At 38.8% G+C, this 16,374-nt stretch overlaps 1 protein-coding gene across 25 annotated transcripts in view; it reads left to right on the top strand.

The window, feature by feature from the left end:
- The window catches only part of LIPA (lipase A, lysosomal acid type), a 201,108-nt gene extending 187,966 nt beyond the window's left edge, over positions 1–13,142 (top strand). For all 25 annotated transcript variants that reach the window (NM_001440839.1, NM_001440819.1, NM_001440821.1 and 22 more), the window contains 5 exons: positions 1,486–1,622; positions 2,884–3,030; positions 4,132–4,203; positions 10,705–10,776; positions 11,653–13,142. In NM_001440839.1, the coding sequence (NP_001427768.1) occupies positions 1,486–1,622; positions 2,884–3,030; positions 4,132–4,203; positions 10,705–10,776; positions 11,653–11,886 (662 nt within the window). In that variant the 3' untranslated portion in view covers positions 11,887–13,142. The remainder of the gene's footprint in view (positions 1–1,485; positions 1,623–2,883; positions 3,031–4,131; positions 4,204–10,704; positions 10,777–11,652) is intronic.

Raw genomic sequence — 16,374 nt, 5'->3', positions numbered from 1 at the left:
ATATGGTTGAAATTGAAGAAATTAATGTAAGCCACAATATATTACATGTTTTCCTAGATGAAGCAAGATAGGGATGTGAGAGAGTAGAAAACAAGTAGTTTCTAAGTTCAGAGACTTACATAAAGAAAACAAGAAAATATACTGCCTTCTGAAGTTAAGTGGAATATAACTAACTACAGGTACATTTGGTTTACAAAAAATTTTGAAAAGTTATATGCATTTTAATTTATGCTGATTATATAAGTAATGCATGTTCACTGTAGAAAAACAGAAGAACAGAAGATTTAGCAAAATTAAAGAAAATAAAAATTGCCCATAATTCTAGTCAGCAAGAGTTTTTGTAATTAGGGACTAGGAACCTGTCCTATAATTTATTTAATTCTCCCTTTTAATGTTTACTATGACTAACACCTTAGTGTTCCCATCACATGCTTTCCTTACAATATATTCCTAGAAGGAGCCTTACTATATGAAAGGTATGAATGTTTTGAAGGGTCTCAAAACATGTGGTTATATTGCCAGGAAAAAAATGGAGTTAGGCATTTTTCTTTATTTATATTTCTTCTTTCATGACTTGCCTGCTTGGGACCTTTGCCCCACTGCTTCCTAAAGTGACATTCTGGGGCCAGGTGGCAAGACGTCAGAGAGGGTTGTATTAATTCGTTTTCATGCCACTACTAAAGACATACCCGAGACTGGGCAATTTATAAAGAAAAAGAGGTTTAATGGACTCACAGTTTAATGGATTGTGAGCTAGGGAGGCCTTACAATAATGACGGAAGAGCAAGGAACATCTTACATGGTGGCAGACAAGAGAGAGTGAGAGCCAAGTGAGGGAGTTTCCCCTTATAAAACCATCAAATCTCAAGAGACTTACTCACTACCACAAGAACAGTATGGGGGGAACCGCCTCCGTGATTCAATTATCTCCCACCAGGTCCCTCCCACAACACATGGGAATTATGGGAACTACAATTAAAGATGAGATTTGGGTGGGAACACACCCAAACCATATCAAGGGTTAAAATATATTTTAAAGCTAGGGGATTCTAAATGTGTGAGTTCCTTTGAAATCATTGGTGGTTTATTTCAACGTGGTGTCTGTAAATTGTTCTTTGGGGGAGGGGCATGGGGGAGATAAAGGTGATGGGGTGAGGCTCTTGGAAATAGTCTGTTATTTACATTGTAAAAGGAACTGGGAAGATTTTCTGATTCTCCCAGACTGGATTTCTTCCAGTGCTTATCTAGGTTGAGATTTGGAGCAAGCATTAACAAATGCTTGATTTACTAGTTTAACCAAATTCAGTGTTAGGGCACACGGAAGTTCAGAGTGCCCCATGTCAAGTGTTTTGGCTCCTGCTGGTGGTATTGTTTGCGTGGGTCTCAGGCCTCCGCGAGAGGGCGTCGCGAGTGACGGCCTTTGTGTTTTCTGAGAAGGAAATCCCAGATGATGGAATTCCTGTTTTCTGTCCTTTGTTCTCACAGGTTTTATAGCATTTTCACAGATCCCTGAGCTGGCTAAAAGGATTAAAATGTTTTTTGCCCTGGGTCCTGTGGCTTCCGTCGCCTTCTGTACTAGCCCTATGGCCAAATTAGGACGATTACCAGATCATCTCATTAAGGTACTTGGACCCCTCCCATCCCTCTCCTCTCCCCGCAGATTTCCTCCTGAGATCTGAAGAAATGGCAAGGGGAGGGATAATCTGTGCCTTCCTCCCCTGCGTTTTGATATCAGTGGAGCAGTGGGCTTTTCTTTTTCCGTTTACCCCTCCTTCCAGACCCAGGGGTGGCCGGGGACGCCTGTCGTTTCCTGCACACTGGTGCCACGTGTACTCATGGTTAGCATGTGTCAGTACAGCTCTGCCCACCTCACAGGGAGAGCAAGGAGAGTCTGGGAGAAAATAATTTAAGCATTTGTGGAGTTGCCCTTTATCCCATGAGGTGAGCCTGTGCACAGAGGATGTAGGAGATGGGAGATAGGAAATGTTCCCAAAAGCCCATCCCTAGCTACACTGAGGGTGACCTAACAACGCTATCATTATTGTATTTTATAATATGGCTCCTAAACACAGCCAGTAGCTTCATCAGGGCTCTGCCCTAAAGCTGTGGCACCCGAACCTCTGTTCAGGGAGGAAATAGATTTCATGAAAAAGAGTTTTAAGCTAGGTAAGACCAGATGTTCTATTATGCATGCATTATATGTCTTTTATGAAATATATGTTCACACACACACATATGAAATCCTGTATAGAAATATATACATGAAATGAGGTATAACGTCTCTCATGGGCCATTTAGAAGACTTAAATAGGAAAGATGGAATCTCCTAGGCTTAGGCAGTCCTTCTGCCTTGGCCTCTCAAAGTGCTGGGATTACAGGCATGAGCTACCATGCCTGGCCAATAAAAAAAATTTTAAAAAACAAAATAAAAAAGCAAGCGATGGGCTGGATTTGGCCTGCTGGCCAGTAGCATTGAATTAGATGGGCACACCTCTGGCAGACATTACTGATCAATCACAGCCTTGACTGTTTCTTAGAAGTAACCACCGATCCATCAGAGTCAGATGAAAATTACTTGGGGATGGCCCTGGGAGGGGTGATCATTAAGGCCCTTTCCCACTGTAGAAGTCCGCTGAAAACTTATTTGATTTTCTGCCTCCTTCTCTTCATTTGGAGAATTTAAATACACCTCTGTAGTGTGTGATTTTTGCTTTGGTAAACTTGTGCAAAAGCATCCTGATTTGATGTCCACTGGTTGCCATTCTCTCCTGAGGCCATTCGTGGAGACATTGGGTACTTGTCTCTGCTTCTGAGGTGAGTCACGGAGACTTATGCACCAGAGTGAAATGCTGAGATGTTCTTGGGTTTCTTTTTATTTTGTAGGACTTATTTGGAGACAAAGAATTTCTTCCCCAGAGTGCGTTTTTGAAGTGGCTGGGTACCCACGTTTGCACTCATGTCATACTGAAGGAGCTCTGTGGAAATCTCTGTTTTCTTCTGTGTGGATTTAATGAGAGAAATTTAAATATGGTATGCATGTTTATAGTAAGATTTGATTTTTTTTTTTATCTGTGAATGTGCTTATTTGTGTTGAATGATATGGGAGAGGTGGGAATGACCTCATCAGAACTCTAAAGAGTCTTTCATTTGAGAGGCACAAGCATGAACTTTGGCCAATGCCTAGAATACGGTACCACCTGCTGCCATCCTCAGGCTGACTGTGGTCACCTTCTTATGTTGTACCTAGATGGAGATTATTGAATGAGGAGATCTGTCACAAATTAAGCTGTAATATTTATAATTACTCTAGTGATTTGTTTCTTTTAGAAATCATTATAAGTATAAACATAAAGATGGGAACAATAGACAGTGGGGACTCCAAAAGGAAGGAGGGAGAGGGACAAGGGCTGAAGCCTGTTGAGTACTATAGCCAATATTGAGTACTGTGGTTATGGGATCAATAGAAGCCCGCATCTCAGCATCATGCAATCCACCCTTGTAACAAACCTGCACATGGACCCCCCGAATCTAAAATACACAAATTTTCAAAAATTACTATAAGTATTTAAATTTGGAACGGCCATTTACATACACATAAGTGTATGCTTGCAGTGTGTGTGTATTTATAAAAGTACATTTTATAAAATGTAAACCCATTTTATTTTATAAAATATAAACCCTTGGCCAATACTATGCCCGTGTTTCTAAATATGTTTGTTAGTTTGTCATGTGGCATTTTGAAAAAAAGGGTTAAAATCCTGGAATAAAGGCCCTAAGGAATTTCAGTGCCATTTTTCTTTTGTCTGATAATTAAAGCAAGGTGTGATTGTTATATGAAATTTGGGAAATTCAGGAAAGCATGAAGAACAAAATGAAAATGCCCTGTAAACGAAACCCACACAGTCCCGTGCTTACCATGTTGTTGCACCTCCTTCATATGGACTTTGTATGTGGTTGTATGTATTTTTATAGGGCAGATTTTTAGTCAAATAATTTTTTTCTACCTCTCATCTCACATACTTGAGATTATGGCTCTAGTTTTTAGTGCTTTGAAGGGCAAAATACAATGTTTATTATCAATGCCACCTTAATGCTGTTTTCATTCTTCATTTCAATGTATTTATTTTGCAGTCTAGAGTGGATGTATATACAACACATTCTCCTGCTGGAACTTCTGTGCAAAACATGTTACACTGGAGCCAGGTAGGCATTCCAGGAGTGCATTTGGGGTTCATGTAAAATCAACATCAGAAAGGTCTGGGCATGCAAACCCTTTCCAAATAGAAAGACAACCTGCTTACAAATCTGATCTGGTTTTCTTCCCCAGAGTCCTGGGTTTTTGTCATCGTGCTTGTGTTGCTTTTGATACCTGTGGTGGGGCACACTGTGTTATACGTGGGTTCACAAACAGCTACTGGGGTTGACATTTTTCTTTTCCCTCCTCTCCCTTCCTCAAGTCTCAGGTTAATATATTCTCTCCCTTTCCTTCTCCCCCAGCTTTCTTTTCCTCCTCCTGTTTCCTCCCCTCCATCTGCTTCTCATTGAGTCCTAGATTTTTTTTATTTCTGTGTTGCTTCATAAAGAGTGATTTTAAGTCCGTTTTGGAGATAGAAACCGCTGTTTCAACACTAACCCCTGATCACAATATGCTTGGAATAGCAGTGAATAAACTGGAGCTAAACCAATGATAGATGTGAATGGGGGCCCCTGACTTTTGAAATACAGTTTTGATTATTTTATCATGTAAATAAGTCATGTTCATTCTAGAAAATTTAGAAACTACATCTAGAAAAAAATTATCTTAAAATGAAAATAAAATCATTCTATAACCCTAGACAGAGAGGAAATGCATATCCATAGATATTGAATGTCTCTGCATTCTATTCTATACCTCTTTTCAAAAAGATGCTGTTAAAGACATGGATAGAAATAGTAGATGTAGAAATAGATTGATTTTTCTCCTGCTTACTGTTTTACAGCTTGCTTTTCTTTTTTCACCTGACAATATGTCAGGGACTTCTTTCTACCTCAGGACATAATTTTGTGCCATTTATTTTTCAGCTAACTTCATTTTTAATATGAAACAACTCACCATTTAAGCCCTAAACCAAGACACTGTAGGTGTCTTGAATAGTAATTTCCAAACACCTGGCAGTCACTGCTTGCATCAGAATCACCAAATTGCTTTAAAAAGTACACTATTTAATAAATCATTGCATTAAAAAAGTAATGAGAGTTGGAATTATAGTGGAATTCTTGGATTGGCTACCATCCAGGCTTATAAAACAAATACTCCTGTGTCCCAATCATTTGGACTAGAGAATCTGTACTTTTATTTTTTCGTTTTATTTTATTTTTTTGAGATGGACTCTCACTCTGTTGCCAGGCTGGAGTGTAGTGGTGCGATCTTGGCTCACTGCAACCTCCGCCTCCCAGCTTCATGTGATTCTCCTGCCTCAGCCTCCCGAGTCGTTTTATTATTTTAAAAAAAAATTTTTTATTGAGGTATAAGTGACATAGAATATTTAAAGTATACAATTTGATATATTTCAGTGTTTGTATACACCTGTGAAACCATCACCATAATCGACACAGCAAATATATCATCATCCTAAAAGGTCCCTGCTGCCCCTTTGTGATACCTCCCCCCATCCCTCCCCTCAATCCCACTGATCTGCTTCCTGTCATTGTAGCTTAGTTTGCATTTTCTAGAGCTTGCATGAGAACAGTCATGCAGTTTATACTTGTTTTTGTCTGGCTTCTTCCACTCAGAATACTTGTTTTGAAATTTTCCTATGTTGTGTATGTCAGTAGTTCATTCCTTTTTATTTCTGAGGATCTGCATTTTTAAAAAATCTGCCTGGTAGATTCTTTTGCTCCACCAGGTTTGGGAGCAGACCTGTTCGGGACATCCTGATACTTTCATCTCCTTCTTCAGTTGCCCCAGGAACTCTAACAGTGCTATAGTTCTCCTTTCCCTGGGGCTCGTCTCTAAGGAACTAGGAAGAGCCTGGCCTGAGGCTCCTGGTCCTTTATAGTAACTAGAAGGCTGAGAGTTAAATGTCAGTTCCTCAGGGGCAGAGTTTGTTGTGGCCTAAAAGAGGGGCATCTGGAATGCAAATAGTTCATGACGTGCTGAACAGCACATGCTTACCACTTAAGGAATGCCCCCAAACCTTCAAAAATCCTCAAATTCACAAAGATTGAGGATTTTCGTTCTTGGTTCAGGTCTCTGCTTTTCTCCTTGGTCACATTTATGCTTATAGTCACTTGTTTTCTTCATATACCCTGTCACTAGAATTCCCCTACATTTTTGAGGATGCCTAGGACCTCTTACCTAATGGACATTTTCCTAAAAGGCCCAATGTCTGTCACCTCATCAGTTATTGCACCCCCAGAGATGATGGAGGGTGACTGAGCTGGCTGGAGGCAGATCCTGAGCTTTCCCACCAGCTTAGTGACTGCCAGCAGCCCACACACAGTACACGCCAGGCCTCAGCAAAGTACAAATGGCCACCAGACCTGGGATGTCAGAGGCCCTTGGGAATGTTGAAACCAAGGCTGTCCTAGGCCAACTCTATTTTATATTACAGACCTGTGTTGCTTCACCCTTCTGTGTCTTGGGCCTCCACTGGGCATGGGGTTTGCAGTAGAGACATTGGATCGGCTATCATCTAGGCTACTGGTCTTGTTCCAGCCCTCTTATCCAGCAGCTTGCCAGGGTCAAAGGCTGCAGGGTGAGGGCCAGAGCACTGCTCTGTGCCCCATTTGTGACCTGGTGACTTTAGATTCTAACTACCCTGGAATATACCTCCAGAATATTTGCAAAGCCCAGATTTGCTGTACAAGGCAGCCTGGGCCTTTGCTCTTCTACCCGCTGTACCATCTTTTGTCAGTAAAATGGTTGGTTGCTTTGTGCAGCCATTGTATCGGATCTTCCCTTTGGCTTTCCCTCCTCTGGGCTGTTGGCCAGGGGCTGCCACTGGTGCAGGCTGCAGGCTCCAAGAGGCAGTGCAGGAAAAGGCTTCTGTGGAAGCTGGGCAGGCCTGGATGCCGGGCAGGCTGGGGCTAGAATTCAGGTGTGGCATTAGAGGGCTCTTATGGTATGAGTTTGGGGTTGACCTTAAAGGCCATTTTGTTTACAGTCCATTCAGAAGTTTACTTTTTGTTTAAATAATTAGGATTAACTTGTTAATAAATTCCATACCTTGTTCTTTAGCGGGATTTTAAATATAGCATACTCATCTTTCCATTCTCCTTATAAACCTGATGAATTTCGGAGCTCCCCAGAGCCAAGACTTGATATTACTTCTCACTTTCTCACTGGCCCTGCCCAGAGCCCAGGTACTCTCACCTGTTTGAAGAAGGCCATCCCAGTGTAGTTTTCCAGTGTTGTTCTGACCTACCTAAGGTGCTATTAAAAATACTGGTTCTTGGGCCTGTCTGAGACCTGTGGAGACTCTGAATTCCTAGGGCTGTGACCCTGGGATCTATGTTTGAGTTAAGTGCCTTAGATGATTACGATGTGCTCTTTTTTTTTTCTTTAAAGGAAAAAACATACTTTTGGTAGGCTTTTAAAGAACACTGTAAAAAGGATATTCAGTATAATTTTTGTTAAACATGTAATATGTTTTATGAAATTTTAGAAAATACATGAGTGAAAGAAAAATGACTTGTATGTCTAGCACCCAGCAATAGCCACTATTAATATTTTGGTATAATCTTACAGTTTTGTAATATAATCATTTCCATTACAAAAGTCAGATCATACTACATCTGCTTTTATGTAAATTTTCATTTAAAGAAATGCCATTATATTTGTTAGATACAAGTTAAGCTGTTGTATTAGAGACCCCAAAATACAGCTGCTAAATAAAGAGTTTATTTCTTTCTCATAATAAAGTTCAGAGAGAGGTGGCCCAGACTGATGATAGAGGGGGTTTTGGCTGTGTTCCATGAGGCCATGCAGGGACCCAGTTCCCTCCATACTATAGCTCTGCCATCCTCGGGGTGTTGTCCTCTTCTGCCTGGTTGCAGCCCGGTCACCTCCATGTCTCTTCCAACTCACAGGAAGGCAGGGGAGAGGGAGCTCAGGGCAAGTGACTTTGTGCGAAGGAGATAGCTTAGAAGTGAGCGGTATGGCCATAGCCTGGCTGCTCGCAGGAGGATGAGGATGTGGTTTCTATCTTGGCAGCCATGTACTTAGGGAAAGCTTTAGGGATTCTGTTACTGAAAGGAAGAAGGCAAGAATGGGAATGGGTGGCAGTCTCTGCCATAATTAAAAATGCCTTTCCGGGTCAGTAACTAAAGTTTTAAAATATTTGTCATAAAGGGCAGTTTCTGTTGCTTGAATTTTATTATCATTTTGTTTTTTGCAGTGATAGTTGTTTTGCAGTCATAAATCATCTGTCCTTATATGTTAGAGTGTTTTCTTAGGATGATACATTTATAGCAGTAGACTTAGTAAGGGAGAGGGTAGGCATAGCTTTAAGACTTCTAATACATATTGTACTTTAGAAAAGTTGAACCCGTTTACATTTTTATTACCATTCAAGACCTAAATATAATTTTTAAATGTCATTTTAAAACGGTTTATCCTAATACTATAGGCATTTCCTCCTGATCATTATCTACATATACTCTGTGATATGATTATCACAGAAGTATAACCTTAGTGTATATTTGGTTTCATTTTTTTCCACTTAGTATTATTTATGAGATTATCTGTAAGCCATTTTCTGTTTGTATTTTATTTATATTTATGACAGTGGCATACCCCTTGTGTATATTTATGTAACATATTTACCCAAATATCTATTATTTGAAATGGTAAGTTTTGGCCACAAGGTGGCGCCCGGTAAAAAGAAATGCCCAGACATTCTCTTCAAAACTGCTTTTGGTTTATGTGAAGTCTGTTCTTATCAACTGCATACAATTCTACTGTTTGATGTAATAAAACACAGAGCGAGATGATATACTACAAGGGATTGTTACTTATTAAAATTGGGCTTTAGCTTATTTCCAGGTTTTTGTTACTGGAAATCATCTTAATACTTTTCTTTTGAAATATCCTTTCAAGTGGATAGCTTGAAGTCCTAAGTGACTTAGCACAAAGTCAAATTTAGAACTTCAGTCTGAGCTATAGGCAAGTTTCACCTTTGTATTCTGTGCTCACGCTGGTGCTTCATATGAATGCTGAAGGACATGTGACAAAGTGATGAACTGCTGTCTGTGTTCAGTGGCAGAATAGTTTGCATCAATATATTTTCACTGACAAAGATGGGGAACAGATGTACCAACAGGTGCTGTGAATCCAAATTTTGTTTTGCTTGTTAAATATGCCACAGGTATTTAATATCAGTCATTTGCAACGGCAAAAACAGATGCCAAATATTTCTCCTGTAACAATCCCCTATAGTATATCATCTCACTCTGTCTTTTATTACATCAAACAGTAGAATTGTATGCAGTTGATTAGAACAGACTTCACATAAATCAAAAGCAGTTTTGACAAAGAATGTCTGAGCATTTCTTTTTACCAGGCGCCACCTTGTGGCCAAAACTTACCATTTCAAATTCATTTGGCTTGCCAATTTTGTGTTTAATTTTTGACATACATTTAATTTGAGAGTGTAGAGGAAATATGGATTTGCACTATTTTGAATTTTAAAAATAAGTGACATTTTGCTAATATTTTATATTATACTATTTTAAATATGAATAAATGTAAATTTCAATACAATTTCAATTTCATGGCTCTAGTATCCCTAACTAGTTAGAATTGTGCTGGCATGCAGTACTACTTGGTGATTATACTGATACCAGTACTCAAGAAAAAGTGTTTAATCAATACCATCATTAAAATTTGACTAATATAACTAGACAAGTAGAATGGGTAAATAGAAAATATACAGTCATCCCTCAAGTATCTTTGGGGACTGGCTGCAGACATCATCCCCAAACCAAAATTCACAGATACTCAAGTCCCTTATATAAAATGATGTAGTATTTGCATATAGCCTATGCATATCCTTTCATATGCTTTAAATCATCTCTAGATTACTTATGATGCTTAATACAATGTAAACGCTATGTAAGTAGGTGTTACACTGTTTTAAAATTTGTATTTTTTATTGTTTTATTATCTTTTATTGTTTTTTTCCAAATATTTTCCATCTGCAAAATATCACTTGGCTGAATCCACAGATACAAAACTGGATATGGAGGGCCAATTGTATATTATAATTATTTTATCTATATATATCCATCTCTCTCTCTCTCTCTCTATTATATATATATATATGTATATATATATGTAGCTACCTATCTGTCTACCTTTATTTCCCAAGTAAAATGACTAACTCTTTGAAAAAGCTTAGGATGCAAATTTCAGCAGAAAATGTCAGCATAAAGTTCCGCTAGCAGGAGCAACTGTTGATCTAGTATAATTGACAGCATATGTGCATAGCTGCTTTCTTGTGTCAGGTGGTAGCTGCTTAACAATCATACAATGAGAAATTGAGTCATTCAGTAAAGCAGGACAAAACCATGCCATCTCATTTAAAATAATGCCTTGGAAATGAAGAGTAAATCTGGATATTGGTATAAAGTTGATTTCCGAGGTTGTGGCTAGCTCCAGCAACCTATGATGTTATCTCTAACTTTGGTGTCAGATAACTCTTTTCCAAATTATCTTCTTTTTAGGCTGTTAAATTCCAAAAGTTTCAAGCCTTTGACTGGGGAAGCAGTGCCAAGAATTATTTTCATTACAACCAGGTAAAGTTTTTAGTCTTTTCATTAAAGGGGGCCCTGAAAACTCATCAAGAAAGCCAGCCTGGCCTATCAGGATTCTGGCCAGGCTCAGGTGCTGTGGGAAATGTTTGCAGGAGTTGACTAGTGTTTGTTTTCCATCAGTCCATTCAGAACAATCCAAGCTTTGTAGCTGGTGTTGTGGACTGGGCCTCCTCTCTTTGTCCTTTCCCCAGCTCTAAATAAGAATCATCACTGTTATGCATTACTCAGAGTAATCACGAACATAGCCTGTAGAGTCAGACAGTCCTATGTCTGTTATCTGGTAGCTATGGGGCCTTGGCCAGATTACATTGCTTAAGCCTCTTCCCTGCACTAATAAAATTAGCATTTTTGAGCATGCTAAATGCACTGAAGTGTGAGGCACTTTGCTCTGTTTTTTAAATTTAATTCCCAGAGCATCTCTGTGATGTAAACGTGATTATCTCTGACTTAAACATGAGGACAGTGAGGCTTAGAGAATTTCTGTGACTTGTCTTACACCCAAAGGGAAGAAGTAGGAGGGCATGACCCCAAACTCTTTCCAGCCACTATTGCCTTGAGTGTACTACCTATGGAGTACAACACCTTCCTTGCCGGGGATTAAACATTCATTTTGGTGCCCAGCCTACGGCAGCAGCTCCACAGCTAGTGGCGATTATAATTAGCATTCTCTCATTTGGGGTTAGATTTCTTTTTTTGTGCCGGTAATGGCAACTTGAAAAGATACTCAAAGAGATTTTAAAAATTTAGTCTGTTAGTCAAACTTACTAGACAATGTTTAATGGAGATTGCGCTTATTGTGATTTTGAAAATTAAAACAACAACAACAACGAGGCTTTCTCTGGTTCCTTTTCATTGTAGAGTTATCCTCCCACATACAATGTGAAGGACATGCTTGTGCCGACTGCAGTCTGGAGCGGGGGTCACGACTGGCTTGCAGATGTCTACGACGTCAATATCTTACTGACTCAGATCACCAACTTGGTGTTCCATGAGAGCATTCCGGAATGGGAGCATCTTGACTTCATTTGGGGCCTGGATGCCCCTTGGAGGCTTTATAATAAAATTATTAATCTAATGAGGAAATATCAGTGAAAGCTGGACTTGAGCTGTGTACCACCAAGTCAATGATTATGTCATGTGAAAATGTGTTTGCTTCATTTCTGTAAAACACTTGTTTTTCTTTCCCAGGTCTTTTGTTTTTTTATATCCAAGAAAATGATAACTTTGAAGATGCCCAGTTCACTCTAGTTTCAATTAGAAACATACTAGCTATTTTTTCTTTAATTAGGGCTGGAATAGGAAGCCAGTGTCTCAACCATAGTATTGTCTCTTTAAGTCTTTTAAATATCACTGATGTGTAAAAAGGTCATTATATCCATTCTGTTTTTAAAATTTAAAATATATTGACTTTTTGCCCTTCATAGGACAAAGTAATATATGTGTTGGAATTTTAAAATTGTGTTGTCATTGGTAAATCTGTCACTGACTTAAGCGAGGTATAAAAGTACGCAGTTTTCATGTCCTTGCCTTAAAGAGCTCTCTAGTCTAACGGTCTTGTAGTTAGAGATCTAAATGACATTTTATCATGTTTTCCTGCAGCAGGTGCATAGTCAAATCCAGAAATATCACAGCTGTGCCAGTAATAAGGATGCTAACAATTAATTTTATCAAACCTAACTGTGACAGCTGTGATTTGACACGTTTTAATTGCTCAGGTTAAATGAAATAGTTTTCCGGCGTCTTCAAAAACAAATTGCACTGATAAAACAAAAACAAAAGTATGTTTTAAATGCTTTGAAGACTGATACACTCAACCATCTATATTCATGAGCTCTCAATTTCATGGCAGGCCATAGTTCTACTTATCTGAGAAGCAAATCCCTGTGGAGACTATACCACTATTTTTTCTGAGATTAATGTACTCTTGGAGCCCGCTACTGTCGTTATTGATCACATCTGTGTGAAGCCAAAGCCCCGTGGTTGCCCATGAGAAGTGTCCTTGTTCATTTTCACCCAAATGAAGTGTGAACGTGATGTTTTCGGATGCAAACTCAGCTCAGGGATTCATTTTGTGTCTTAGTTTTATATGCATCCTTATTTTTAATACACCTGCTTCACGTCCCTATGTTGGGAAGTCCATATTTGTCTGCTTTTCTTGCAGCATCATTTCCTTACAATACTGTCCGGTGGACAAAATGACAATTGATATGTTTTTCTGATATAATTACTTTAGCTGCACTAACAGTACAATGCTTGTTAATGGTTAATATAGGCAGGGCGAATACTACTTTGTAACTTTTAAAGTCTTAAACTTTTCAATAAAATTGAGTGAGACTTATAGGCCCAAAGAATTGTGTGTATGTTTTTTCTCTTTTATTTAACAGTCATCCGGTTCTTCCCTTTCTCTCTTGGCAGTACTTGGAACTCTTCTCAAGGTTAATGTGTTTACTCCGGGAAATGAAGGGCTACCAAGTAACGAGTGATTTTTAAAAATCATTTTTTTGTATGCCACAAGAGGGCACTCTTGGCTTTGCTTGCAAATCTTCCCACGCTCTCTTCCCTCACTACTTTTTCTTTTCTTTTCTTTTCTTTTCTTTTCTTTTCTTTTCTTTTCTTTTCTTTTCTTTATTATTATTATACTTTAAGTTTTAGGGTACATGTGCACAATGTGCAGGTTAGTTACATATGTATACATGTGCCATGCTGGTGTGCTGCACCCATTAACTCGTCATTTAGCATTATCTCCTAAAGCTATCCCTCCTACCTCCCCCCACCCCACAACAGTCCCCAGAGTGTGATGTTCCCCTTCCTGTGTCCATGTGTTCTCATTGTTCAATTCCCACCTATGAGTGAGAATATGCGGTGTTTGGTTTTTTTTTCTTGGGATAGTTTACTGAGATTGATGATTTCCAATTTCATCCACGTCCCTACAAAGGACATGAACTCATCATTTTTTATGGCTGCATAGCATTCCATGGTGTATATGTGCCACATTTTCTTAATCCAGTCTATCATTGTTGGACATTTGGGTTGGTTCCAAGTCTTTGCTATTGTGAATAGTGCCGCAATAAACATACGTGTGCATGTGTCTTTATAGCAGCATGATTTATAGTCCTTTGGGTATATACCCAGTAATGGGATGGCTGGGTCAAATGGTATTTCTAGTTCTAGATCCCTGAGGAATCGCCACACTGACTTCCACAATGGTTGAACTAGTTTACAGTCCCACCAACAGTGTAAAAGTGTTCCTATTTCTCCACATCCTCTCCAGCACCCGTTGTTTCCTGACTTTGTAATGATTTCCATTCTAACTGGTGTGAGATGGTATCTCATTGTGGTTTTGATTTTCATTCCTCTGATGGCCAGTGATGGTGAGCATTTTTTCATGTGTTTTTTGGCTGCATAAATGCCTTCTTTTGAGAAGTGTCTGTTCATGTCCTCACTACTTTTTCTAAGATTTTCTCCAGCATCTACCAGGGAAGGTAGAGAACTTTGTTGCTTTCTGAGCCAGTTGGAATTTGATGGCCAGCCATGGTAGTATTATTTCTGTTCAGGAGTATAATTAATTCTTGCCTAGTGGATAACATCTGGAAAACGTTCTCAAGGAATACCTGCCCCTCAAATGTAAACTGAAAATAAAAATTTGCCTAATAGGTAAATGAGTGATCAGAACTTCAGATGTGGTTGGGGGATGGGTGGCAGGAGGAAAAGGTTTTAACTCAGGCCTCACACATATATAGGACTGAAATTTAGACTAGTGACATCCCCAAATAATGATTATTTTGTGTTTGTGGGTATTAAAGGTGTTAATTTTTTAAATATAAACATTAAAAATACACTGTAATGTGATTTCTTGTCATTAATTTTTCAATGTATTAAGAGATTTTCAAAAGATAAGTCACTCTGATCTGTTGTGACACTGAAAGGCAACTTTGAATAGTAATTATTCTGATTTTTAAAAAGTTACCCAATCAGTATTTCATTATGTTGCGCTAGGTGCAGATTTGAACTTCAATTCCAAATTAAGCAAGCAAAACTCTTTGTCAAATTGTCTTAGCATTACTGAAAATAATACTTCACATTTTGTGTTGTGCCTTACGGGGTTTCAAAGCCTTTTCATAAAGCTTTAATATTTGCAATAATCCCTTTGACAGGTGAGGCGAGCATTTGTTTCTCTACAGGCAAGGGAATGCCTTTTTAATGGGGATGATTTTATATGCCTTAAAAGTTTCAGAGAGGTTGATGAGAGTTTCAACAGTATAAGTGAGTAGAAGCGCCCACTTAAATGCGACATGTAAGTGGATCAGAATAGAAAGTGTTTAAAACCAAATATGCACCAGTATTTGGACTAATAGGAGCATCAGGAGAGTGTCTGGAGGAAGCTAACATCCCCATGTTCTTTATCAGCATCTCCTATTGTTTTTGGCACGGCTAATTAATGTTTTCTGAGTCTTTTGTAAAGTGTCACATAAAAGCAGCTTCAATGACCCCTTCCAATACCAAACTCCTCCTGAAGAGATACTTACCTTGGAACCAACCCTGGCCCTTTTCTGCTCAGTTTGGCTGTAACTTGCTTTTTATCCCTAGCTAGCCTTGTCTTGACTTTTCTGAGACTGAATTTTTAATCTTCAGTCTTTAAAATGAAGGATTAGATTTTGATATTCGAGATCATTCCACCTCTATGAGTCTTCCCTGTTACACAACACTACACATCTCTAATAGCCAGGAACAGTTTTGATTAAACAGATGCCCAAATGGCCTTACCTAATTTGAGAAAGAAAAAGAAATTCATAAAGGTCATTTAAAAAAGGGATTATGTGATTGATGGCAGGCTTTGCTAACTACATGTTCTATTTGCTGGGGGAAGGGGAGCAGCATCCACAGTCTTTTGGTAAGTTGGTGCCACATAACTTTGAGATTGTGATGAGTGTGCACAAACTTGACTGTTGTACTCTCAGAAAAGTGATTTGACCCCTGTGATAAGCAGAAAATAAAAGATTCCTGTCCTCCAACTCCGCCAGAAAAACCATACTAAGATAAAAACCATATGCAGGAAGCCATGATCAACTGGAGAAGAGATGGCGTGGCCAAAGTTCTAATGCTACCTGTCAGAAAACACCCCCTTTTGCGGAAAACCATCAATTGGACAAGAAATGGTGTGGCCAAAGTTCTAATCAGAAAACACCCCGTTTTAGGGAAAACCATCTTTACAGGTGGGTAGATCCAAACTACATCAAGCAGTACTCCAGAAAAAAAAAAAAGATTTGTTTTTTAGCCTCAATTTAGAGCTAATGTCCTTTAAAATGAATCTTGAGTCCACAAATATCTTTTGAACACTCATTACATACAAGATGCAATGCTTGGCACTGTGAGAAGAAGTCCTAGAAGATACACCCTGTGCTCTAAAAAGACCTATTCATCTAGCAAGCTATTACATTTTTGTGCAAATAAAAACTGTTTAAAGGTGCGCATGTGCCAAATTCAAGAAATGATACCACCTTAGTCAGCACTTGATAGTGTTCAATTTTATTTTGGTCCATTAAGTGATGCTGTTTTTGGTTACCTGACATATTGTTCAGC

The sequence above is a fragment of the Homo sapiens genome, chromosome 10 (genome assembly GCF_000001405.40).
Source record: "Homo sapiens chromosome 10, GRCh38.p14 Primary Assembly".
NCBI classification, from domain to species: Eukaryota; Metazoa; Chordata; class Mammalia; order Primates; family Hominidae; genus Homo; species Homo sapiens.
The sequence above is the reverse complement of the archived record's forward strand: the minus strand, read 5'-3'. Positions and strand labels throughout refer to the sequence as shown.